Raw genomic sequence first — 27792 nt, 5'->3', positions numbered from 1 at the left:
CATCTCCCTGCAATCACCCCCAGCACAGGGGAAACCTGCAGTGAGGCAGATGGTGGTGAACTCAAAGGCCCCTGAGCTGGGGGAGGTTGTTGGGTGGGGGCTTCACTCCCTGCCACCCTAGACACGATGGCCAGGGAGGGGTCAGGTGTGGGTGGGTGGTGGCTGCAGTGCCCTCCCTGCCTGCTGCAGGGGGATGCAGGTTGTCCAACACCATCCTGGGACTGGTCAGCCCTGGTGCCTCAGCCCAGTAGCAAGGAGTCCTCCAGGAGAGCCAGGAACCTCCATGGGAGGTGGGTGGAGGTGAGGCCCCTCCACGCTGTGCCCACCCCAGCCTCAGAAGGAGCTGCTGGCACTGTCCTCTCTTGAACAGCAGCACTTCTCCCAGACTCTAGGGAAGTAGCCACTAAGAGGCCCAAGAAACAATGGCTCCTTCCATGCAGGCCCCACACTCAGGCTCCCATTATCGCCCAGGCCCAGGTGGCGCTGCCCAGCCCTGTCAGGTCCCCATCAGGCTCAGGACCTCCTTGTCCCACCCTGGAGGGGGTGGCTGATGGAGAGCTGAGTGTGGGGGGTGCCAGGGGAGGGGGCCTGGGAGAAGTATTTCATCTCTGATGCCGGATGGTGGCACCAGGGTAGGAGGCACCGAGCTAGGTGTCATCCTGAGCACATGGCAGGTTTTAACTCCTTCAGACCTCATGACAGCCTATCACATGCATTTTACAGCAGGGAAAACTAAGGCCTGAGGGTCCCTGTGCCAACTGTGCTCCCACCCCAGGGACAGGTTGATGCAGGGGAGGCTAATGACAGCAGTGATGGAAGTCACTCTCAGCTAGAGAGAGGCCAACGCCCCTGGCCCACAAACTTCATGACTCAGTGCAGAGCCAGCACCTGGGGCTGCTGGGCCAGAACCCTAAGGGCTGTCTCCTCATGCTGAATTCCCTGCTGACCTCCAGATTGTCTAACCCCCACCCCTGAGGCCATCTGGACACTGGCAGCTGCTGCTAACCCACAGGCCCCTCTGTGGAGTCCCTGTTGGCCTGGCCTTGAACTCCTACCCATGGTGGAGATCAGGTGTGGCTTGCTCCAGGAAGCCTCTGGGCTCCTGGGGATTGGGAGAGTGGCCGGAGGTGACTCAGACCTCCAAAGTGGGCAGGAAGGTGGATGCCCACACTGGGCTGTTCTCAGGCTCCTCTCCCCACCCTGGGCTTCTAGCACAAGAATAAAGAAGGCTCCAGCAGCTCTTGCCTGGAAGAGACTGTGGTACCTCCTGTCCTTGGCAGTTCACAGAGGGAGGGGTTGCTGGGGGCTGCTGGCCCATGGCTGTTACTGACCGGGTCAGGGTGGGGATGGAGACGTCCAGGCCCTGCCATCTGAGGGGTGCAGGTGGGATCTGGCCCAGCTGCAGCATGGCCCTCTCCCAACCCCAGCCTGTCCTGTCCCTCAGTGAGCCCACACCCTGGAGTCAGAGCTGTGTTCTGTCCTCTGCGGAATCCAGTGGAGCCTGGACACAGCTGCCCGCTCCGTGTTGGGGTCGCCCTCGGCTGTCCCATGTCAGGGTTCCCTCATCTGCCCCCTTGTGCAGTGGCTCCTAGAGATCACTCTCACAGGCATTAGATGCATGGCTCAAGGTCGGCGCCAGAGCCCCTGGTGCAGTGACCGCTGTCCAGCCCACACGGGCCACCCTGGGGGGCTGCTGTGGAGCCTGCAGTAACAGAAGCCTCACTCCTTCAGACCCCCACTCCCCTCCCACACAGGCTGGCCACTGGGCTGGGGCTCATGGGCTGCCTGCCTTGTGCTAAAAATGGAACCCCAGACTTTCTGGCTTTAATAATACAATCCTGACCCCCCAGGGCCCTCCCCATTTCCTGGGAGCACCCCAAACATCTTCCATGGGAAAAATAGGACACAGAAACCCAGGCATCCAGGAGCCCAAAGTCTCACACCCAGGGAGCGAAGGGCTTGCCAAGGCTCTTACCCCAGTGCCCAGCACCACTGCCAGCATCCCACAGTACAATGGGGGAGATGCTGTTGGGTGTCCATTGGGAGCCAGCCCCAGGAGCACAATGTACAGCAGCACTTTCCTGTCGCCATGGCTATGCTGCAGCCATGAGTGACCAGGGCTCTTTCTGTCCAGGAGACACCTGTCCTGCCCCATATGCTCGCACTCTGCTCTCCCTGCCCACCCTACTCTGTCCTGGCCTGGGGTCCCCGAGCCACAGTGGCTCAGCCACCAGCCCCACCAGCTGCCTGCCCAAATGGATGCTCCCCAGGCCACCCAGACCCAAGGGACTGGAGAGAGCTCTTCTCCTGTCCATTCAACCACCCCTCAGCCTCCCTCCACCCTGCCCTGCACTTGGGGAGTCTCTGTGACCAGTCCCCCACACAAGGAACTCACAGGAATGCCCCTTTCTGTTCGGGGGCAGGACTGCTGGCATCAGGGAGCATTGAGGGAAGCACATGGAGAGGGGGACTGGGGTTCCCCATGACTGTGCCCCAGCAGCCCCCCACACCTTCCCCCACAGGGGATGCTCCCAGACACTTCTGAGCTGCCATGGGTGCCCATTTCACAGGTAGGGAAACCAAGGCTCAGATCCAGGGAGCTGCAGTATGTGTGCATCCACCTGTCTTTCTCCACAAGCCCCAGGAGCTCAGGGGCAACAATGGGGAGCCCCTGCACTGGTTGCCCCTACCCTGCCACAGGCCCACAGTCTCCCCCTGGGGATGTGGCTGCCCACCTGCAAAGCTGTGTCCTCATCACCCAGGTCTGAGCCGTGCAGAGCTGGTTCCAATGGCTGCAGGCACCACAGTCGCAGAGCTGGAAGAAACAAGCATCCTCCCCAGGAGTCTGCAGAGGGAGCGCATTTCTGCCCACACCTTGATTTTGGACTTGTGGCCTCCAGAACTGTGAGAGAATAAATTCCTGATGTCATAAGCCATCACTACAGCAGCTCCCGGACACTAATATTGCTCAGTCCGTCCAGGCTCCTCTCTCTGTTTGTTGCTGTTCTAGGTTTTTCTGAGACAGGGTCTGGCTCTGTCCCTCAGGCTGAAATGCAGTGGCACAATCATAGCTCACTGTAACCTCTATCCCCTGAACTCAAGCCATCCTCTTGCCTCAGCCTCCCCCACAGCTGGGACTACAGGCAGTGCTGCCATGGCTGGCCAACTTTTAAATTAGGTAACCCTTCCCAATAACTTTCACGATTAGTTAACATCTTCTACATTCCTATTTATTTTCCCCTTTTTAATACAAACATATGCCCATTAAATAAGCAAAATAGGGAAAAAAATTTAATCACCCAAAACCCTACCATCTACTTACCAGAGAGACAATAATGGCACAGGGATATAGTGCCAAATTACATTAATTTTGGTAATCCAAAGCAATAGAAAAATCTCCAGTTTTCAATTTATTCTTCTTAGATTTCTAATCAAGAAAACCTATTTTCTACACTAAAGCAAATATATACAAAAGGAAAAGACACACCTATGAAGCAAAGGGATGAACTGGAGTCCTAATGTTACAAGAGGCTGGTAGTCATTCATTTGTCATCACTGAGGTATTTTCAGAAAATAGCCATGGTTCCCAGAACTTTAACAAGCACAATAATCCACTCTTAGATACTTGAAAGTCAGATAAGAAGACATCTATCCCTTAACTAGTTGTTATACACTCTATGTAAATAAAACCATATAATTTTAATTTCCTCAATTAATTCTCACAGACAGTACCCAACCTCACATCACCATGATCTTTGACATGTCAATGTTTTATTGTAAATCGTGACAGTCTATCTACATAGAATACTCATGATTTACAATTTCAGATTGTCAACCCAGCCAGTAACCTACGTAGCACTGAATTCAAATACCAGAAAAAGGACCCAGATTCCCTCACCACCTAGCAGAGCTCAAGTGAGCTACACAGCCTGGTAGGGAATGGGGAGTAATTAAAAGGTTGTAAGCAGGTACTACTATAGTCAGATGAGTTTTTGACAGGTTATTCTAAAATCACTGAGAAAAGAAAACTGTTGTAGTATTCCAGATAAGATTATGTGGTCTGTAAAAGGACAGTGTCAAGGAAATAGAAAAGAACAATCAAGGAATTTCAAAGGGTAAACTGGATGTGATTATATATTACCACATCAAATGAACATCAGGCTCAAAGAAGGCACGGGGGAGCAGGAGGCTGCTTTCCCCAGGTACTCTCTTTCCCAGGCTTGCCCAGCAGTCCTGGCAACTGACATATATATATATGGAAACCATCATTCTGAGCAAAATATCGCAAGGACAGAAAACCAAACACCACATGTTCTCGCTCATAGGTGGAAATTGAACAATGAGAACACTCGGACACAGGATAGGGAACATCACACACCGGGGCCTGTCGTGGGGTGGGGGGAGGGATAGCATTAGGAGATATACCTAATGTAAATGATGAGATAGTGGGTGCGGCACACCAACATGGCACATGTATACATATGTAACAAACCTGCACATTGTGCACATGTACCCTAGAACTTAAAGTATAATAAAAATAAAAAATAAAAAAGTCTTCCTCAAGTTTATCATCAAAAAGTGCTACACATGATTTACAAGTATTTTCTTCCATCTTGTGAGTTGTCTTTTCACTTTCTTGATGGTGTCCTTTGAAGTGCAAAAATGTTTAATTTTGATGAAGTCCAATTCATCAATTTTTATTCTTGTTGCTGGTCTCATATTTAAGAAAACTTTGCCAAATTCAAGGTCATGACAATTTACTCCTATGTTTGCTTCTCAGGATTTTATAGTTTTAGTCCTTACATTTACGTGGATTAGCTCAAAATGGATCCATTTGATCCACTTTTTTTGCATCCATAGTTTTTGTATGTGGTGTTGGGTAAAGGTCCTACTCCAGGATTTGCATATGTTTACATATCTAGTTGTCCTTGTGAGAGTTCTCAAACTTCTTTCCCCACTGAATAATCTTGGCACCCTTGTCAAAAGCAGTGGTTATATATGTATGGGTTCATATCTGACTCTCAATTCTATCCCACTGGTCTATACATCTATCCTTCTGCCAGTATTATATTGTCCTGATTACCACTGACTTGTAGTAAGTTTTAAAGTCAGTAAGTATGAGTTCTCCTACTTTGTTCTCATTTTCAAAAGATTATTTTGGCTATTCCTAGTCCTTTGTAATTCCATATGAATTTCAGAGTCAGCTTGTCCATTTTACAGAGAACTCATCCGGGATTCTGACAGGGATGAAGTTAAATTTGTAGATGAGTTTAGGGAGTATTGCCTTCTTAACAATGTTAAGCCTTAGGTCCATGATCATGGGATACTTTTACATTTATTTAGATCTTCTTTCATTTCTTTCAAAAATGTTCTATAGTTTTCAGAGTACAAGTTTTACACTTCTTAAATATATCAGTATTTTATTCTTGTTGATGCTATGATAAATGAAGTTGCTTTCTTAATTTCATTTTCTGATTGCTCATTGTGAGTATGTAGTACTCAGTTAAAGTGTGTCAAATACTATTGATTTTTGTATATTGATCTTGTATCCTGCAACCCTGATGAACACAAGGGATTTGTGTCTGGCGTACATAAGGAACAATTACAATTCTGTAATAAAAAGACAAAACAACCCAATTAGAGATAGACAATTCAAGAATGGATAAACAAACTGCAATACATGCAAACAAATGGAATATTATTCTGCAATTTAAAAAATGAGCTATCAAGCCATGAAAAAGCACAGAAGAACCCTAAATGTATACTGCTGGGTGAAAGAAGCCAGTCTGAAAAGGATACATACTACATGATCTATTATATGACATTCTGGGAGAGGCAAAATTAGAGAGTAAAAAGATTAGTAATGACCGGGGGTTTGGGAGGAAGAGGAGGGGGAGGAATGACTCAGTGGAGCACAGGAGATTTTTAGGACAATGAAACTGTTCTACATAATACTGTAATGGTGGGTACATGACATTATACATTTGTCAAATCCAAAAATCTATAAAACACAGAGTGAACCCTGAAGTAAACTATGAATTTCAGATATAAGTATCAGTTCATCAAATCTAATCGATTTAGCACAGTAGCGCAAGGTGTTAAGAGTTGGGAGAACTGGGCAGGGGCACTGTAAGGGAGCATATGTGGACTCTCTGCACTTTTCTCTCTATTTTTTCTAAAACTGCTAAAAAAAAGTCTATTGTTTTTAAAATAAAATGATCCCTAGCAGGAAAAAAAAATGACAAAAGATCTCAACAAATATTTCCCCAAAGAAGATATACACATGGCCAATAAGCATGAGAAAAGACACTACCTTCAATAGGAAAATACAAATCAAAACCACAAGGAGATACAATTTCACATACATTATAATAGCTACAATTAAAAAGTCACACAGTAAGTGTTTGTGAAGATGTGGAGAAACTGAAATTTTAATACACTGCTGGAGGGAATAAAAAATAATGCAGCCATTTCAAAAAGTAGTTTGGCAGTTCCTCAATTAGACAGTTATATGCATCTGAGCAATTCTGCTCCTAGATAAACACCGAAGACAAATATCTACACAAAAACTTATACACCAATGTTTATAGCAGCATTATTCATAATAGCCAAAAGGGGTAAACAATGTCCTAAATATCCATCAACTGACAAGTGCATAAACAAAATCCAGTGTATCCATGTAACAGAGTATCATGTGGCCATAAAAAGTAAGTACTGATACATGTCACAGCATAGACAAACCTTGCAAGCATTATGCCAAGTGAAAGAATCCAGTAACAAAAGCCCATATGATAGATAATCCCATTTATATGAAACACACGCAATAGGGAATCCAGAGGCAGAAAGATTGGTGATTGCCAGTGCTACAACTGCGGGGGTGCAGATGATGTATGTGGAGAGACAGAATTGAAAGCTAAACGGCACAGGAGGCAGGGTGTTGTGGTCCATGCCTGTACTCCTAGCTACTAGGGAGGCTGAGATGGGAGGATTGCTTGAGCCCAGGAGTTCAAGGCTGCACTAAGCTATGATTACACCACTGTACTCCAGCCTGGGCTGGTCGACTGAGCAAGACCCCATCTCTTAAAATAAATAAATAAATAGAAAGAAAATAAGCTAAAGGGCATAGGATTTTTTTTTGAGGTGGAAAAACAATTCTAAAATTGATTGGAGTGTTGGTTCCCAACATCTGTGAATATACTGAAAACCACTGAACTATATACTTCGAGTGGGTGAATTACATGGCATGTAAACTGCCAATAAAGCTGTTTTAGAAATCCTAATATTTGCTGTGCTATAACTTCAGCAAAGTACTGCAGGGCAATAATTGCAGAGCCAACCCTATCATTACAGTATGACACAGGAAAACTTAAAACTGCACTTACGATCAAGCTATATGCAGAGCATATTAGCACACCAAAAATAAATGACTACACTAAAGACCCATCCTTCAAGGATTACAGAATTTAAGTGCTGAAAAGGAGAGTAAAACTACTCTGTTTTTTTAAAAAAGGTAAGAACTCACAACTTAATTAGTCACTTGTAAAATTCTGGATTGCTAAGAGATTTTCAGATATAATTTAAAAGAAAACACACGACCAAGACAATAATGAAAATCTATACGTAAATTTACTATTACCTTTAGCTTCTGAACGCACAGCCAAAAATCCATCTTCTGTCACTGCTTTAAACAAAGGTCTGACTCCTTATGTATCTCTGTCCAGGGACACTTTCTTATTGGCAGAATCCAGTAAAACAAATGCAAACACACCAACCAACGTACAAATTGTTTGCTCAATTCCTCCTTTGTCATAAAGATGAAGGATTATCTCACCATCCACTTTGGTCTGGTATTCAAATTCAAACTGGTGCTGCACCTTAGTAAGCAATAGCAAAACCAAGACATTATAGACTCCTTGTGCATCCACTAATAATTTTTATCACAAAGTTGCTTCAGTATTTCTGGAGCTTTAAAATCATTTCATGCACTTTGGTGATTTAGGAGAATCACAGCATTATCAACCTAGGGTTTGCTTCAACTCATAATTCTGCAAATTCTGTTCAACATAAAGCTGAACCCATGAAAGTTTTAGTTGCAGTCTGATAAACAGAATATAACGGGAATGTACCAGAATAGTAACCTGTAGAGGAATGGAAATTCATATTTTATACATACTATGTATGTGATACATAAATATTTTATATATGCAGATTGAGTATCCCTTATCTGAAATGTTTGGAACCAGAAGTGTTTAGGGTTTCGGAATTTTTTTTTGGATTTTATAATATTTGCATCTACGTGAGATATCTTGGCGATGAGACCCAAGTCTAAATGTGAAATTCACTTATGTTTCATATATCTTATACACATAGCCTACAGGTAATTTTATATAATATTTCAAATAATTTTGTGAATGAAACAAAGTTTGTGTACATGGAACCATCAGAAAGCAAAGGTGTCACTATCTCAGCTTCCATGTGGAAAATCTGTGGCTGTCTGACATCACTGACCATCATTTCTGACTCTGAATTTATATGCTACTGATGAGCAATCATTTTCACACAATTATTCACACATAAGTAAAAATATGACATGCCATTAATACAGTAAAAAATAATAAGCAACACAGTAGCATCACCAGAATACCTGCATCAGCTGTTAAACAGCTGTATAAACAATGGCAAGCTTTCAGGCTCCACCTACAAGGCTGCGTTTTGATTAAAAGGTTACTGTACATTGTATTTTTTTTCTTTTTTTAGGTGAGAAGAAATATCAGGAGTTGAGCAACTAGGAGGTGAGTCCTCTGAGGCTGAGGAGGCATTCTGCCAGATGGTTTTTTATAATGTTTCTCCAGAGTCATCTGCCTCATTATCAAGGGCTTTTGTCTTGGAAGTCTCTCTTTAATTTTATAAACTGACATGACCTCTTGTTCTGTTATGAATGCAGGTAGCTCTAGTCCTTCAATATCTTCAATATCTCTATCACACATTTTCACCATGTCATCTATACCTTTACACTACAGTCCAATTTCTCCAACAGCTTGACTTTCTGTGTTCTAAGTGTTTCTACTTTTCCTTATCATTGCTGCTCGCAGGGATATCTACAGGCCTTATTGACATTTTCAGTATGCTAACACCACAGAGCAGAGAATAAGAAAAATACACAACGAGTCATGCACTTAGGTCCCATCTGTGGGGATCCTGCCATTGGCTTGTCCAGCTTGCACATGTGCCATTCTGTGACCCTTTGTGTGTGTGCTTGCATGGGGAAATCTGAGCATGTGTAGAAAAGTTATACTGCAGCTGAAGGGGGCTGAGAGGGTCTTTTTTCATTAGAGAACATCAAATAAACTGTGTGTTGTTCACCTGCACTTTGACTAGGACATCAAAATCCACATGTGGTGTCATGTCAGTGCTCAAAAAGTTTCAGATTTTGAAGCATTTCAAATTTCAGATTTTCAGATTAGGGATGCTCAACCTGTAAATTTAATTTAAGGTAATATGTTGCTTGGTTGCCGTGACACTAAAAAACGTGTCTTCTGCAACTGTCAACTTTTGGTTTAAGAAGACAGTATTGGCTAAGAAGTTCCTCCAGTTCAGCTTCAAAGACCTAGCTATAAAAATGTAAAGCAAAGGGACAAACATCATTTGGCGTCATTCCCTGAAAAATAAATGGCTCCATCACAATAACAGATACATGATCCAAAACAAAGCTGCTTGTCCTCAGGTGAGGACGACAACGCCCAGTGCTCCCACCACTGCAGTAGCATTAAAACTACTGCTCACTGAGAGATAAAATGATGGTGGCACTTTATTAGTCTGCATGCCCCAAAGGAACAGCAAAGGGACTGTCTGCCACTGCATGCAGAGCAAGAAAGTTTGATTAGGCTACTCACCAATTCTGACACTCTCCAGCATCACTGGCAAACTATGAGGATGAAAAGTCCTTGATGTATTTCTCTTTGTATGTCATACTCACATTTTTGGCTGACATTAGAGAAATAAGAGGTTTAAATCAGGTGGGAATCCTAGGTTAAGTTTAAAACATGTTTTGAAATCTCAAAAAGTAAACCTATTATGTATGTGCACGACCCATAAATACGCTTCACACTCCATCCAGCTCACTGCATAATTTGTGAACCTTTTATCTGTAAGCCCTCAATGAACTGTCCAAAAATGGGCTTTGCCTCCAGTGACTATAAAGTCACTACCTGGTCACCCCTCTCTGCTCTATCAGGGATGATCTGTAACTAGCAGGTGGGGTCTGGAAACAGTCTTCTGCTGACTGTCCTGGGCTGAACTGCCTGAAGGGTAAGTCACTTACCACTTACTTTATGGTCACTTACCATAAAGCATGGAAAACTGTCATTAGCTGAAAAAAATAAACCCAGCACCTAGGACAATAAATACATGCCATACACTCCCAAATAGATGACGAGTCTCCAATTTGTTTTCTGCCTCTTAGGAGCTTATAAAACTAAAGTTCACAATTAATGGGGAAGGGAGGAGACAGATGATCTTCATTGCCTTAGTTATAAACTTGCTTTGGTCTATGGTGATCCTGTGTTAAACTGTGAAATAGAATCTATCATCCTGGCTCTCTGAGGCCCTTGACTTCACCCTTTTAGTGCTTTTCTTACTTATTTTCAAACCTTCACCTCTCTCACATTGAAAACCCCAACTCTTAATACCCTCTCTAAAAAACTACCCCTTCCCACCAACCACCACCACCACCGACCTCACTCTATCATCTAAATCTGTTTCAAGATATAAAAATCTTGGTAATTTAGATCTTAACACAAATTGCCTACTACCTTTTCAAAAAGCAAGTTAAGCCTGATTCTAATTGTGGGATGAAAAGTTTTTTCCCTAGGAAGAAATTTTAAATATCATCAAGCATGTTGAGAGGTGCTAGCGAGGGCATGGAGCAAGGAATCAAATTCCATAGGTGATTGTTTTCTCTATCTTTGTATAAAAATGTCCTTGCCCCAATTAAAGCCTCCACCAAGTATAAAAAGAAAGCGTTTGGTGATATTAGCAAGCAACAGTTTCCCAAATCTACCTTGCCCACCTCTTTGGCCTAAACTCTGCAGGTAATTTATTCTAAAAAGAGAAGTGTCCTTTGGGTAACAGATGTATCACTTCCTACTCTCTTAAACCAAACTCCGATGCTGCATCTTAGATAAAAGCCCTCAAATCTGGCCTCCTGAAGTCATGCTGTCATTTAACTTGGCTGCAGACCCCTGATACTCCCCTGCAGGGAGAGAGTCTGCTCTTTGCCCCAGCCTTTACCCCATTCCTACTTTCTTTAACTCAGTCCCCCTCCACTCCCAGCACACCTCTGGCTGTATTTTATTATTAGTAGTAAGCTTTATTTTTATCAAAAAGGGGGTAGGGGGTATTTTTGACCTTATGTTGCAGAATACTTTATATAAGCCTAAAATATGCATTCTGTTCATTAGATTTCTAGCTGCCCCAACTACATAAGCTGAGATGCTTGGTAGAAGCAATGGAACAAACTTCTCTAGTTTTACAAATATAACTTTTGACTAATTTAGAACAGAAATTAATTAATTTCAAAATATTTAACTTATTTTAGCTTTTTAGAAAAAAAAACACTATCTGAGTAAAACAGAGCACTTCCTATTTCATTTAAGGAGAAAGCCAAGCTGATAATGCCATCATACTACCTAGCTTTCTCATGCATATGACACTGATTTGACTTAGAAAGAAAAAAGTTTTAATACTCTCTTCTACTTCCCACTAGCAGGAAATTCCATTCTTGCCTTTCCTTTTCACCATTTCATCTACAATCACCTAGAAAAATGATATCTGGTGCATATTAGGTCCTTAATAAAGGAATAAAGAAATGTGTGAAAGGAATTTCTTGAATAACTATTTTAAAACTTTTTGAACAAGAAGACTATTATTAAGAGTGTTCCCGTGAGCAGGCAACAAACAATGACAAAAGCTATTATTCAGAGATAAAAATGTCCAAAACATGGTTAGGATATAACTCTCTATCAGTGCCTGACAGGTATCTATCAAGAAGTCTCAGAAAAAATACCAAGAAACATCACAACCAAATGCATGAATCTTGAATGAAATCTGGCTCTAAACAAACAAATACCAGCTATAAAGATATTCTTGGTAGCACTTTGAGGGGCCAAGGTGAGCAGATTCCCTGAGCTCAGGAGTTCCAGACCACCCTGGGCCCAGTCTTTACTAAAATACAAAAAATTAACCAGGCATGGTGACAGGTGGGCCTGTCGTCCCAGCTACTCAGGAGGCTGAAGAAGGAGAATTGCTTGAACCCAGGAGGCAGAGGTTGCAGTGAGCCGAGATCGCAACACTGCACTCCAGCCTGGGTGACAAAGTTGAGACTCTGTCTCAAAAAACAAAAAAATTCTCCAGACACTTAGCGAAATTTAAGTATTAACTGGATATTAGGTGGCATTATGATTTTTTTTTTTCATTTTTGAGACAGAGTCTTGCTCTGTCTCCCAGGCTGGAGTACAGTGGCTGAAGCTTAGCACACTGCAAGCTCCACCTCCCAGGTTCACACCATTCTCCTGCCTCAGCCTCCCGAGTAGCTGGGACTACAGGTGCCCACCACCACGCCTGGCTGATTTTTTTTATTTTTGTATTTTTAGTGGAGATGGGGTTTCTCCGTGCTAGCCAGCATGGTTTCAACCTCCTGACCTCGTGATCCACCCACCTCAGCCTCCCAAGGTGCTGGGATTACAGGCGTGAGCCACCGCACCCAGCCAGGTGATATTATGGATTCTTAGGTTTAATAATGGTATTGATGTTATGTAGAAAAATGTCCTTATTCTTAGGAGATAAATGCTTATATATTTAGGAGTGTCACAAAATCTGCACCATACTCTCAAATGATTTGGCAAAAAACTGTGTGTGTGTGTGTATGTGTGTGTGTGTGTGTGTGTGTGTAGAAAGAAAAATCAAGCAAATATGGCAAAACATTAATGATTATTCAATCTAGGTGCTCACTATTCTGTTCTTTTCTGTATGTTAGAATTTTTTTCAAAACAAAAAGCTGGGGAGAAGGAGAAAAAATTCTAAGAGTCAAAGAAACTGTGTAATCCCCATTTTTATCACTTTTTTGTGACCAAGTGATTTCACTCACCATTTTATTCATCAGTTCCCTATCTACATACTTAGAGCAAATGAGATAACATAGAATGCTTTGCAAAGTAAAAAGCATGATACAGAATATATAATCTCATCGTAACCAACAAGCTCTGAAGTTTAATCACATCCACACATCTGGCTTCTTTTCCCCTACCTTCTTATGGTTGTAGATTTCACCATTGTAACAGAGCCACATATATGGATATGTCTTCACTTAAATTGTCTGCATTCCAAACAGCGGGTCCACTACCACCAATGGGTGAAATCCAAAGCAGCAGCTGGTGTATCCATTAACATTCTCAAAACAGGATGCATCTGGACCCCTGTGTGCAATCTTCATAGCACACAGACACTAAACAGAAAGGCAGTCATTGCTGTCAAACAGGACCCAAATGCCACACACAGTGCAATGAAGCTATAAGCTCCCTATGGAGAGAAAAGTAGACAAATCAAAAATATTCAATATCCAATCCAAGTCCGCGTTAAATCTTGATTCCAGAAACGTGCATAAACCACTTCAAAGACTAAAATTTAAACCATCTTTTCTATAGCGATTTCCCATTTGGTTGGCAGGCATACAGGAGTAAAGAATGATTTAATTTACTTACAAATATTCAGAAAAGATAGTGACCTCTACATTCAACCAGCTACAGCAGCTTAGCACCCAGCCAAAGGCTGCATCTCTCCCACCTTAAGATTTAGTGGTTGGCTAGAGTTAGCAGCATCCAGGCCACATCTATCTCTGCATTCTAAGTTTGCTTCCAAGATAAAGATACAAATGCAGGCTGGCTCCAACCTAGCCAGAGATCCCAGCCCCACTCTCTGCATCCCAAAATCCCTCAAAGACTCAAGAGACTTTCCAGATTTCTACAGTCTCCTCACAGGTTCCCTTGACAGTTAAATGCCCTCTCTTTACCTCAACTAGCTGCAGGTAGAATATAATGGGCACAAGAGAAAATCACTGTAAGTGTAATATGAAGATACACAGCCCTTTTAAGCATTTCATTATATTACATCTAGCTTACTTCTAAGGGATTTATTCAGATGTGACTGAAGAAAGTCTAAAGGGAAAAAAAGCAATTTAATTTGATAAATTAAATTATCAATTATAGCCAAATTATTTGGCTATAACAAATTAAACATTTTAAGCTGACAGAAGATGCAAACATTTTAAGTTGACAGAAGATATAAAATGTTCACTATCAAAATGTCACAACTGATAAAAATGTTCTCAAATATTTCTGTCTCAAACTTGCATTGTTCATTAAGGAAGCAAAATAGGTGGGACATACACAGCAACAACATACCTCAAAAAACAACTTGGCTCATTCCTATAAGCCAGGCAGCAAATACATCATCCTTACATATGTTAATTACCTTCCAATTTCAAATTCTCAACTGTGAAATAAAGGGCCATTTTATTTGTCTGCTGCCAGTACAATATGACTGTTTTTATTAAAACATCTCTAACTTGAGAAATATTTGGTGTTTTCTAAAAAACTGCAAATTGCAGCAAATGGCCAGATAATTTGGAATAAACACCCTACAGAAAAAATATATATTCAAGTTGCATAAGTCACTTTGAGCAATCCTTTGTGGATATTTCATTTATATCTAAATGAACCACAGGTTTAGCTGGCTTTTCTGGAAAACCAGAAGCAAATAATGTATGATTATAATGAAAACCATCTCAAGCAATTTGGAAATGAAGTACCACATGTCCTATGCTGTCCCTTCCATAAACTTGACAAAACAGCCTATAACAAATTGTTTACTTTGAGATTTAGTAGGAAAATTCCATGAGATTTAAATGAGATGACTACTAATAAGCCATCTACATTTGACTCTATTCCAATTAAAAATGGGTTAGGAAAGTGCTTTGAATATCAAGTGTGTTCATCAGGGAATCATTTACCTAAGTCTTCCTAACACTGTTTAGTGAATATTAAGCCTGATGTAGTAAATACACGCTAACCACTAAATTGAAGGGGAAAGAGGGAGAACAAAGAGGCATGTAAAGTACACTTACTTCTTCTAGTAGGAAAAAGCCAATTAAAACTATCACCTATTAGTTTTATTGGAATCAGTCTTACAGGAGGTCAAACTTCCTACTGTCGCTACCTATTCTCAATATTTTTCTTATTTCTTCCTAAACTTCTAGAGCTGTGCTGTCCAATAAATATGTGAGCCACGTATGTAATTTTAAATGTACTAGTAAGCCCCATTAAAAGAAAAGGTGAAATTAATTTTAAATATACTTAACTCAGTATGTCCCAAATAGTAATCATAGTAATAATTTTAACATGTAATAAATATAAAAAAAATCAAGCAGATATTCTACACTGTTCTTCCCACTCCAACGACAAAATCCAGTGTATTTAACACAACACATCTCAATTAGGACTAGCCAGGATTACAAGTGCTCAACAGTTACAGGTGACTAGCACCTACTGAATTGGACACTGCAGTTTCAGTGCATTGAATTTCTATCCCACTTAGCGCTAATTAAAACTTCACCCTCTCACCTGACAATGATGCTAAGATCTCAGTAAGTAACCAACTACAGGCAGTTTCAAGCCCTACTTTACCTCTAATTACTCTTACAGCAATGCAATGAATCATGATTTAAAATTAAAAAAAAAACTGCTGTTAAATTATTAGTCAAGTGCCCAGGGCAATGGACAGTAAAGAAATAATGTAGGCCATGGGCCGAGATGACAAAACGGTCCTTTTATTTAAAGCTATAATAATCTGAAGCCAGCCCTGTAAAATAGACATCCATTGAAAAAGGCATGCTAGTTCTTTTGCTTTTTTGTGTACTTGGCCTCCTGTGTCCCTAAACAGATCTCTTCTCAGCAGAGTTTGCTCAGCAAGTCACTTGATGAGTCTTGCAGTCTACAGAGGGGGTAGGGAATGGCAGGAGTTGGCATAGGAGTGAGAGGGGAGGAGGCAAGGTGAGGGGGGCCAGGTGAGGAGGGTGGCACTTGAAGGGGAGTTCAAGACTAGCCTGGGCAACATGGTGAGACCACTGCCCCTCACCACCGCCATCTCTGTTCTCACTCTGGTCTCACACACATGCACAAATTAAATTTAATTTAAAAATTAAAAAATTGTTTTAAAATAAGTGAAGTATTTACATGGATTATGTATACATTCATTTTGTAGAACTATAGATCCCATGTAACTGGGAACTCTTTACTCTTCTAACACAACATTTATTTAGCCACAAATAAAAGAAGACCAGTGATGTAGCCTGTACACAAAAAAGTAAGAAAACACTGGTTAGGCTGGGGCAGGGGTGGGGGGAAGAGATCTACAAAATTAAAATTTTATTGGGAAGCATCACTAATTAGAATCAGAACAATTACTGCTTTAAAGTAGTTAAGAACAGAGCACAAGGAACCCAGAGAAGAAGCAGATATGATTCAGAGCAGAGCTCACAGAGCAGATGGTATCTGAGCTGAGACTGATAGAATAACATTAATAAGGACATTCACAGCCATTTATTATCACTTAACTGCAATGTATTTTGTATAAGTTATTTCTACTCTTCATATCAACCATGGAAAATAATACTTATTCTTTTCTTTTGAAGTTAAGGAAGTGGTAAGTGGTCTAAGAAGATAAATTAACATACTAACACCAAATAGCTCAAGTTCAGTGACTCAAGAGTGCCCGCGTCACTCCAAGAGGTTGCTCAGCAGGCAGACGAGGTAGAGAGCCCTTCCAAGAAGTGACAGTGAGATGTGAAAGGTCTCAGTGTGTCTCTGAGAACAACAGAAACCAGTAAGTAGACCAAGTGAGAAAAGCCATGAAAGAGGCAGGGATTTCCTCTTAAGATAGCAAGAATAAACAGAGCAGGGCTGAGGGAAGCCATGGAAAATGGGCAGAATACCATGCATTTAGTGAGAAAAAAACAACTTTTACTTTAGAAAGGGGGAAAGAATGGTGGTGGTCTAGGTAAGCCTAGAAGCAGAGGAAAGGGCAGTGGAGGAAAAATATACAAAATGTATTAGTCAGGTTTCTCCAGAGGGACAGAACCAACAAGATACACGTATATGTATAAGGGAGTTTACCAGAGAGAATTGGTTCACACGGTTAGAAGGCAGTCCCACAACAGGCTGTCTGCCAGGTAGGGAAAGAGAGAAGCTAGTAGTGGCTCAGTCCAAGTCCAAAAGCCTCAAAACCAGGAAAGCCCGCAGTGCAGTCTTCAGTCTGAGGCCGGGGGCCTGAGAGCCTCGGGGAAGCCACTGGTGCAAGTCCCAGAGTCCAAACGTATAAGAACCTGGAGTCTCATGTCCAAGGGCAGGAAGAAGGGAAGCAAGTTTCCTGCACGGGAAGAAGAAAAAAAGAGAGCCAGAAGCTTCAGCTAGCAAGGTTATCCCACCTTCCTCCGCCTGCTTTGTTCTATACAGTGCAGCGTGTGTACACCACTTCTGTGATATTGTTTCTAATATCCATGGGAAGAAAGGGTGATGTTACTCCCAATAGCGCATGGGGGTGTACATCCCCTGTGATATTATTCCTAGTATGCAGGGGCAGGGAAAGGATGACATTACTCCCAATATCGCAGAGGGTGTTCTCCCCGCCTTGTGATATTGTTCCTAATATTTAGGGGATAGTGGGTGATATTACTCCCAATATCACAGGGGGTGTGCAGCCCCCGTGGTATTCTTTCTAATATCCGGTGGGGGGAGAGGTTGATATTACTGTCAATGACACAGGGGGTGTACATCCTCCCATGGTATTGTTCCTAATATCTGGGGGGGAGAGGATATTACTGTCAATATCACAGGGGTTGTAGACCCCTTCGGTGATATTGTTACTAATATCTGGGGGAGAGAGGATGATATTACTGTCAATATCACAGGGGGTGTACACCCCCCCGTGGTATTGTTCCTTATATCCCCAGGGGGGGAGAGGAAATTGTCAGTATCACAGTGGGTGTACACCTCTTCTGTGATATTGTTCCTAATATCCAGGGGGGTAGAGGATATTACTGTCAATATCGCAGGGAGTGTACAACCCTTCTGTGATATTGCTCCTAATATCCAGGTAGGGAGAGGATCATATCACTTTCAATATCACCAAGTGTGTACATCCCTCTTGTGATATTTTTCCTATATTTAGGGGATAGTGGATTATATTACTGTCAATATCACAGGGGCTGTGCACCCCCCCATGGTATTGTTCCTAATGTCCAGCAAGGGATAAAACACTACTACTCCCAGTATGGCAGGGGGTGTACAAGTCCTATGCGATGCTGTTCCTGTATCCATGGGGGAAAATGATATTGGGAACAATATTACAAACAATATCACAGGCGGGTGTACGTGTCCTGCGATATGAGGAGTAATATAACCCTCTCCCCATCTGGATATTACAAACTGTATCACAGAGGGGTGTAAACCCCCTGGGATGTGGAAAGTAGTATCATCCTCTCCCCTACTGGATATTACAAACAATATCACAGATGGTGTACACATGAGGTGTTTACGATATTGGGAGTAATATCATATCTCCCAGTGGATATTATGAACAATATCACAGAGGGGTGTATACACACTCTGCCTTATAGGGAGTAATATACTCCTCTCCCACCCTGGATATTACGTCACAGGGAGGTGTACATCCCCTGTGATACAGGGAGTAATATCATCCTTTTCCAGCCTGGATATTACAAACAATATGGCAGGGGGCAGTACACCCTGGCGATATGGGTAGTAACATCATCTCCTCCCCGCGTGGATATTATGAACAATATTCTAGGGGGTTGTACACACCCTGCAATATGGGGAGTAACATCGTCCTCTCCCCCACTAGATATTATAAACAATATCGCAAGGGGGGTGTACACTTCCTGCAATAAAAGGAGAAATATCATTCTCTCCCCCCAGAGATATTATGAACAATATCGCAGGGATTTGTTCTCCCATGCTATATGGGGAGTAATATCTTCATCTTCCCCCTGGATATTATGAAAAATAACGCAGGGGAATGTAAATCCCCTGCGATATGGGGAGTAAAATCATTCTCTCTGGCTAGGCGCGGTGGCTCACACCTGTAATCCCAGCACTTTGGGAAGCCGAGGTGGGTGGATCACGAGGTCAGGAGATCGAGATCATCCTGGCTAACATGGTGAAACCCCGTCTCTACTAAAAATACAAAAAATTAACCGGGCGCGGTGGTGGGCGCCTGTAGTCCCAGCTACTAGGGAGGCTGAGGCAGGAGAATGGTGTGAACCTGGGAGGCGGAGCTTGCAGTGAGCCAAGATCAGGCCACTGCACTCCAGCCTGGGCGACAGAGCGAGGGTCTGTCTCAAAAAAAATAAAATAAAATCATTCTCTCCCTCCCTGGATATTATGGTGGGAGCGCGAGCGGGCTCGGGGGTTGCCAGGCAGCTGCTGCCTGCACACAGAGGGCGACTGCAGCTTGGGCGCCCAGGCGGCGGAGCATGGTCTGGGTGGCCTCTGGAATGCGTGAGCGCCAGACCTGAGGATCACCCTGGTGGAGCCACCTACCCCGGTCTTCCTCTGCTGGAGCCTGGAGCAGCTGGAATGGCCACTATTCAGTCACAGGGGATAGAGTTAAGTTTTCTTATCCCACACATGCACACAAAAAGGTAACTATTCTGTGAGGTAATAAACATGTTAATTGACTTCATTCATGCCGCTCTGCACCCACAAGTAAGGGTTTCATAACAATGACACAGAAAATAAATGTTGCTAAGGAGGTGGAGAAGTTGGAGCCCTCATGAACTGGCTGCTAGGAATAGAAAATGATGCCCTTGCTGCAGAAAACAATTTGGTTGTTCCTCACAGAATGAGCATTGGGTGAAAAATGAAATCAAGATGGAAATGTAAAAAATTTATTCGAACTGGATGACACAACCTATCAAGACCTCTGGGATACAGCATAGGCACTGCTAAGAGCAAACTTTGTAGTCCTAAAAACCTACGTCAAAAAGTCTGAAAGAGCACAAATAGACAATCTAAGTTCACATCTCAGGGAACTAGAGAAGCAGGAACAAGCCAAACCCAATCCCAGCAAACACAGGAAATAACCAAGATCAGAGCAGAACTAAATGAAATTGACACAACAACAAAAAATACAAAACATAAATAAAACAAAAAGTTGGTTATTTGAAAAGATAAATAAAATTGATAGACCATTAGCAAGATTAACCAAGAAAAGAAGAGAGAAAATCCAAATAACCTCACTAAGAAATGAAACAGGGGATATTACAACTGACACCACTGAAATAATAAAGATTATTCAAGGGTACTATGAACACCTTTTGGCACATAAACTACAAAACCTAGAAGAGTTGGATAAATTCCTGGAAAAATACAACTCTCCTAGCTTAAATCAGGAAGAATTAGATACCCCAAGCAGACCAATAAAGCAAGCAGCAAGACTGAAATGGTAATTTTAAAATTACCAGCAAAAAAAGCCGAGGACCAGACAGATTCACAGCAGAATTCTACAAGACATTCAAAGAATGTCTTCTTTCATTCAAAGAAGAAATGATACCAAACTTTTCATACTATTCCACAAGACAGAGAAAGAAGAAACCCTCCCTTATTCATTCTATGAAGCCAGCATCACCCTAATACCAAAACCATGAAAGGACATAACCAAAAAAGAAAACTACAGACCAATATCCTTGATGAACGCAGATGCCAAAATCCTTAACAACATACTATCTAACTGAATCCAACAACATATCAAAAAATAATCCACCATGATCAAGTGGGTTTCATACCAATGATATACGAGTGGTTTCACATATGCAAGTCAATAAATGTGATACACCAAATAAACAGAATTAAAAAAATCTAATATGATTATATCAACAGGTGCAGAAAAAACATTTGACAAAATCTAGCATTGCTTTATGATTAAAGCTCTCAGCAAAATAGGCATACAAGGGACATACCTTAATGTAATAAAAGCCATCTATGACAAACCCACAGCCAACATAATACTGAATGGGGAAACAGTGAAAGCATTCCCTTTGAGAACTGGAACAAGACGAGGAGCCTACTCTCACCACTCCTCTTCAACATAGTACTGGAAGTCGTAGCCAGAGCAATCAGACAAAAGAAGGAAATAGAGGAAATCCAAATCGGTAAAGAGGAAGTCAAACTGTCACTTGTTGCTGATGATATGATCTTTTGCGTAGAAAACCCTATGGACTCCTCTAGAAAGCTCCTAGAACTGATAAAAGAATTCAGCAAAGTTTCCAGATACAAGATTAATGGACACAAATCAGTAGCTCTTCTATACATCAACAGCTACCAAGCAGAGAATCACATCAAGAACTCAACCCCTTTTACAATAGCTGCAAAAAACAACAACAACAACAAAAAACTTAGGAATATACCTAGCAAAGGAATCAAAAGACCTCTACAATGAAAATTACAAAACACTACTGAAAGAAATCATAGATGGAGCCAAGAACGGTGGCACATGCGTATAATCCGAGCTACACGGGAAGCTGAGGCAGGAGAATCGCTTGAACCCGAGAGGCAGAAGTTGTAGTGAGCCGAGATCACACCATCGCACTCCCACTTCAGCGACAAGAGCGAAACTCCCTCTGGAAAAAAAAAAAAAAAAAAAAAAGAAAGAAAAGAAGTCATAGATGACAAAAACAAATGGAAACGCATCCCCATGCTCATGGATGGGTAGAACCAATATTGTGAAAATTACCATTCTGTTAAAGGCAATCTACAAATTCAATGCAATCCCCATCTGAATGCCACCATCATTCTTCACAGAATTACAAAAACAATTCTAAAATTAATATGGAACCAAAAGAGAGCCATGTAGCCAAACCAAGCCTTAGCAAAAAGAACTTGGAGGTATCACACTACTTGATTTCAAACTGTACAATAAGGCCATAGTTACCAAAACACCAATGTACTGGTTTAAAAATAGGAACATAGACCAATGGAACAGAAGAGACAATCCAGAAATTAACCCAAATACTTACAGCCAACTGATCTTCGAGAAAGTAAACAAAAACATAAAGTGGGGAAAGGACCCCCTTTACAATACATGATGTTGGGATAATTGGTGAGCCACATGTAGGGGAATAAAACTGGATTCTCATCTCTCATCTTATACAAAAATCTACTCAAGATGGATTAAGAACTTAAATCTAATTCCTGAACTATAAAAATTCTAGAAGATAACACTGGATAAACCCTTCTAGACATTGACATACTCAAGGATTTCATGACCAAGAACCCAAATGCAAATACAATAAAAACAAAGATAAATAGCTGGGACTTAATTAAACAGCTTTTGCATGGCAAAGGGAACAGTCAGCAGAGTAAATAGACAACTCACAGAGTGGGACCCCTGAACCTGACCCTGACCCCTGACCCTGACCCCTAACCCCTGACCCCTAACCCCTGACCCTAACCCTAACCCCTAACCCTAACCCTTAACCCTTAACTGTAACCCCTAAGCCTAACCCCTAACAACAACCCTCACCCTCACACTAATCCAACCCTAACCCCTTATCCCTAACCCCTAACCTCTCTTAACCCTTAACTCTAAACGTTGACTCTTAACTCCTAACTCTGACCCCAACACCTATCTCCAACCCCTAACCCTAAACTTAACCCCTAACCCCTAACCCTAACACCAACCTTAACCCTAGGTTCGTTACTACGTTTGTATTGACTATGTCAATGTTGATTATTATGATCTGTCTTAGGACTGCATGGCAGCAAGGGGATTGCGGATCTTATATTAATATTTTTGTATTGAGGCAGTGCATTAGCATTACAGGTGCTTGTTACATGAGCAATGGGCGTGTCATATTTTGGGTGTCATGTCCGCATTAGGAATGCTGCATTTGTCTTCTGAGGCTGCGGTGTGGATCTCGCACTGCGGCGCCTCGCCTTGGCTGGGGAGAACCTCGGTGGGTAGGATTCAGAGGGGCTTTTGGTTTCCCTTTTCCACACTGAACCCTTCTTACTGGTCGCTGACCCTGATTACTCAGGGCTGCAAACAGGAAGGATTTTATTCAGCGTCTATGCGGCCCCGAGTTGTCCCAAAGCGAGGCAGTGCCCCCAAGGTCTGTGCTGAGGAGAACGCTACTCTGCCTTCGCGGTGTCCCCCGGGTCTGTGCTGAGCAGAACGCAGCTCCGCCCTCACGGAGACCCCGGCCTGCCCAGGTCTGTGTTGAGGAGAACACTGCTCCGCCTTTGCTGTATCTCCGAAGTGTGTGCAGAGGAGAACTCAGCTCCGCCCCGGCGATGCTCTCCGTGTCGGTGCTGGGAAGAACGCAGCTCCGCCCTCGCAAAGTTGCACAGCGCCGGCGCAGGCGCAGGGGGGTGGGGGCCCCACAGCGCCGGCGCAGTCGCGGGGGGCGGGGGGCCACAGCGCCGGCGCAGGCGCCGGGGGGTGGGGGGGCCCACAGCGCCGGCGCAGGCGCAGGGAGGCCCACAGCGCCGGAGCAGGTGCAGAAAGTCAGAAGGTCCATGAGGGGAAGGTGAGACACCTGGGGCAAAGAAAAAAAAAATGCGCCGCGAAGCGGTGTCTGGGTCATCCACAGACGAAAGTTTTTTCCCATCAGCCCTTGCGCTGCGCCCCAGGGACCCTGGCATCCCTGGTTCACGCCCAGGGTGCGCCTCGGGCGACTAGGGGTACCCCAACTCGGACAGAAGCCCTATGAGTGGAAGTTGAAGTTTGTGGGAGGAGAGGTGAGGCACCAGGGGCAGAAAAAAAAAAAAAAGAGGACCGCGCCTCAGAGAAGTGGGGCCTGGGTCCACCACAGATGAAAGTGCCTTCCCATCAGGCCCTATGCTGGGCGTGGTGGACCCTGGCGACCCTGGTTCGAGCCCAGGTTGCGCCTCGGGACCGCTTGGGGTACCACAAAGCGAACAAAAGGTCCATGAGGGGAAGGTGAGGCACCTGAGGCAGAGAAAAAAAAACGTGCCACCAAGAAGCAGTGCCTGGGTCCCCCACGGATGAAAGTGCCATCCCATCAGCCCCTTCGCTGGGCCCTGGGGACCCTGGCATCCCTGGTTTGACCCCAGGGTGCACCTCGGGCCAGTAGGGGTACTGCAAGGTGGGCAGAAAGCCCCTAAGGGGATGGTGAGGCACCTGGGGCAGAGAAAAAAAAAAAAACTTCGCCGCGGAGAAGCACGGCCTGGGTGCCCCACGAACGAAAGTGTCTTCCCATCAGTCCCTGCACTGGGACCGGGGACCCTGGTGTCCCTTGTTCGAGCTCAGGGTGTGCCTCAGCCGCTAAGTGAACCCCAAGGGGGGCTTTGGGCGCACAAAGCCCATGAGGGGAAGGTGAGTTTTGAGGGAGGAGAGGTGAGGCACCTGTCACAGAAAAAGAAAGAAAAAACCCGCGCCGTGGAGAGGTGGGGCCTGGGTCCCCCACGGATGAAAGTGCCTTCCCATCAGCCCCTGTGCTGGGTACCGGGGAACCTGGGGTTCCTGGTTTGAGCTCAGGGAGAGCCTTGGGCCACTAGGGGTACCCCAACGCGGTGGAAAGCCCATGAGAGGAAGGTGAGCTGTGAGGGAGGAGAGGTGAGGCACTAGTGGCAGAAAAGAAAAAGAAACCACGCCACGGAGAAGCGGGACCTGGGTCTCCCATGGAAAAAAGTGCCTTCCCATCAGTCCCTGCGCTGGGCCCCGTGGACCCAGGCGACCCTGGTTCTAGGCCTGGGTGCACCTCAGGCCCGCTAGGTGTACCCCAAAGCAGGCAGAAGGCCCATGAGGAGAAGGTGAGGTTTGAGGGAGGAGAGGTGACGCACCTGCGGCAGAAAAATACAAACGTGCCGAGGAGAAGCGGGGCCTGGTTCTCCCACAGACGAAAGTGCCTTCTCATCAGCCCCTGCGCTGGGCCTCCTGGACCCTGGCGACCCTAGTTCAAGGATCAGAAGAGACTCCGGCACGCTAGGGTACCCTAAGGAAGCCAGAAAGCCCATGAGGGGAAAGTGAGATTTGAGGGAGGAGAGGTGAGTCACCTGTGGCAGAAAAAAAAAAAAAAAATATATATATATATATATATATATCAGCGCCTCTGAGAAGCCGGGCCTGGGTCCCCACTGATGAAAGTGCCTTCCCATCACCTCCTGCGCTAGCCTCGAGAACCTGGCGACCCTGGTTCGAGACCCGGGAGCGCCTTGGGCCAGCTCGTGTTACCCCAAAGCAGGCAGAAGGCCAATGAGGGGAAGGTGAGGCACCTGGGGCGGAGAAAAAAAACCGCAGCTTTGAGAAGCGGGGCCTGGGTACCCACGGATGAAGGTACCTTCCGATCAGCCCCTGTGCTGGGCCCCGGCGACCCTGGCATCCATGGTTCGAGTCCAGGGAGCGCCTTGGGCTGCTAGGGGTACCCCAAGTCGGGCAGAAAGCCCATGATGGGAAGTTGACGTTTGAGGGAGGAGAGGTGAGGAACCTGTGGCAGAAAAAAAAAAAAACAACAAGCCGCGCCTAGGAGAAGCTGGGCCTGGGTCCCCCACGGATGAAAATGCCTTCCCATCAGTCCCTGCGCTGGGCCCTGTGGACGCTAGAGACCCTGTTCGAGCCTCGGGTGCGCCTCGGGCCTGCTAGGGGTACCCCAAGGTGGGCAGAAATCCCTGAGGGGCAGTTGAGGTTTGAGGAAGGAGAGGTGAGGCACCTGTGGCAGGAAAAAAAAGAAAAAACTGCACCACGGAGAAGCGGAGCCTGGGTCCCCAACGGACGAAAGTGTCTTCCCATCAGCCCTTGCGCTGGACCCAGGGGACCCTGGCGTACCTGGTTCGAGACCAGGGTGTGCTTCAGGCCGCTAGGTGTACCCAAAAGCGGGCAGAAGGCCCATGAGGGGAAGGTGATGCACGTGGGGCAGAGAAAAAAAAAAACAACCGCGCCGCGGATAAGCGGGGCCTGGGTCCCCCACAGAAGAAGCTGTCTTCCCATCAGCGCTTGCACTGCGCCCCGGGGACCCTGGTATCCCTGGCTGGAGCCCAGCGTGTGCCTCGGCCTGCTAGGGGTACCCCAAGACAGAAGGCCCATGAGGGAAAGGTGAGACACCTGGGGCAGAGAAAAAAATAAAAAAACTGTGCCGCCCAGAAGTGGGGCCTGGGTCCCCCACGGAAGAACGTCCCTACCCATCAGCCCTGCACTGGGCCCCGGAGACCCTAGCGTCTCTGGCTCGAAACCAGGGTGCGCCTACGGGCCCGCTAGGGGTACCTCAAGGCGAGCAGAAAGCCCATGACGGGAAAGTGAGGCACCTGGGGAAAAGAAAAAAAAAAAAACGCCGCAGAGAAGCAGAGCCTGGGTCCCCGAGGAAGAACGTGTCTTCCCATCAGCCACTGCGCTTGGCCCCGTGGAACCTGGCTTCCATTGTTCGAGCCCAGGGTGCGCCTTGGGCCGCTAGGGGTACCCCAAAGCATGCAGAAGGCACTTGAGGGGAAGGTGAGGCACCTGGGGCAGAGAAAAAAAAAAAAACCTCGCCACGGAGAAGCGGGGCCTGGGTCCCCAGTGATGAAAGTGCCTTCCCATCAGGCCTTGCGCTGGACCTCGTGGACACTGCGACCCTGGTTCGAGCGCAGGGTGCGAATAGGGCCCGCTAGGGGTACCCCAAAGCGGGCAAAAGGCCCATTAGAGGAAGGTGAGGCACCCGGGCAGAGAAAAAAAACCACGCCACTGAGAAACGGGGCCTGGGTCCTCCACGAACGAACGTGTCTTCCCATCAGCGCCTGTGCTGGGCCGCAGGGACCCTGGAGTCCCTGGTTCAGCCACAGGGTGTGCCTCGGGCCGCTAGCGGTACCTCTAGGCGGACAGAGGGCTCATGAGGGGAAGGTGAGCTTTGAGGGAGGAGAGGTGAGGCACCTGCGGCAGAAAAAAAAAAAAAGGTCACCTCGGAGAAGTGGGTCCTGGGTTCCCCACGGACAAAAGTCCCTTCCCATCAGCGCTGCGCTGGGCCCCGGGGACACTAGCATCCCTGGCTCCAAACCAGGGTGAGCCTCGGGCCCGCTAGGGGTACCCAAAGGCGGGCAGAAAGCCCATGAAGGGAAGGTGAGGCACCTGGGGAAGAGAAAAAAAAAAAAACCCTGCAGAGGAGCAGAGCTTGGGTCCCCCACAGACGAAAGTGTCTTCCCATAAGCCCCTGAGCTGGGCCTGTGGACCCTGGCATCCCTGGTTAGAGCCCAGGGTGTGCCTCGGCCTGCTAGGGGTACCCCAAGGTGGGCAGAAGGCCCATGAGGGGAAGGTGAGACACCTGGAGCACAGAAAAAAATTAAAAACCGCTCCGCCTAGAAGCGGGGCCTGGGTACCCCACGGAAGAAAGTGCCTTCCGATGAGCCCCTGCGCTGGGCCCTGGGGACACTGGCGTCCCTGGTTTGAACCCAGGGTGCACCTCGGGACTGCTAGGGTATCCCAACGTAGGCAGAAGGCCCCTGAGGGGAAGGTGAGGCACCTGGGGCAGAGAAAAAAAACCGCGCCGCCGAGAAGCGGGCCCTGGGTTCCCCACGGACGAAAGTGTCTTCCCATCAGCCCCTGCACCGGGCCCCAGGGACCCTGGCATCCCTGGTTCGAGCCCAGGGTGCGCTCGGGTCGCTAGGGGTACTCCAACGCAGGCAGAAAGCCCAGGAGTGGAAGGTGAGGTTTGAGGGAGGAAAGGTGAGGCACCTG

At 45.3% G+C, this 27792-nt stretch overlaps 1 long non-coding RNA gene across 5 annotated transcripts, besides 2 other annotated features; it reads right to left on the bottom strand.

Annotated features, from left to right (window-relative positions):
• Positions 2550 to 2744: a silencer, noted in NCBI's record as "fragment chr21:9902786-9902980 (GRCh37/hg19 assembly coordinates)". NCBI's record gives its function as "represses an EF-1alpha promoter that drives an FKBP-Casp9 reporter gene in an ReSE screen in HepG2 liver carcinoma cells {active_cell/tissue: HepG2}" and the evidence as "EXISTENCE:reporter gene assay evidence [ECO:0000049][PMID:32094911]".
• Positions 2730 to 21130, bottom strand: LOC101927615 (uncharacterized). Of its 5 annotated transcripts, none has more exons than XR_949123.3 (5): positions 21089 to 21130; positions 13304 to 13575; positions 9894 to 9984; positions 7637 to 7874; positions 2730 to 2902 (listed from the first exon to the last, which is right to left on the bottom strand). It is a non-coding gene; the product is annotated as an uncharacterized LOC101927615 (long non-coding RNA). The 5 variants fall into 5 exon arrangements; XR_246985.5 differs by lacking the exon at positions 21089 to 21130 and adding an exon at positions 17226 to 17409; XR_949124.3 differs by lacking the exon at positions 21089 to 21130 and adding an exon at positions 17226 to 17409 and having other exon boundaries at positions 2736 to 2815.
• Positions 25448 to 25612: a silencer, noted in NCBI's record as "fragment chr21:9879918-9880082 (GRCh37/hg19 assembly coordinates)". NCBI's record gives its function as "represses an EF-1alpha promoter that drives an FKBP-Casp9 reporter gene in an ReSE screen in K562 erythroleukemia cells {active_cell/tissue: K562}" and the evidence as "EXISTENCE:reporter gene assay evidence [ECO:0000049][PMID:32094911]".

The sequence above is a fragment of the Homo sapiens genome, chromosome 21, assembly GCF_000001405.40.
Source record: "Homo sapiens chromosome 21, GRCh38.p14 Primary Assembly".
In the NCBI taxonomy this organism is placed as follows: Eukaryota; Metazoa; Chordata; class Mammalia; order Primates; family Hominidae; genus Homo; species Homo sapiens.
This window is presented reverse-complemented; position numbering and strand designations above follow the sequence as displayed.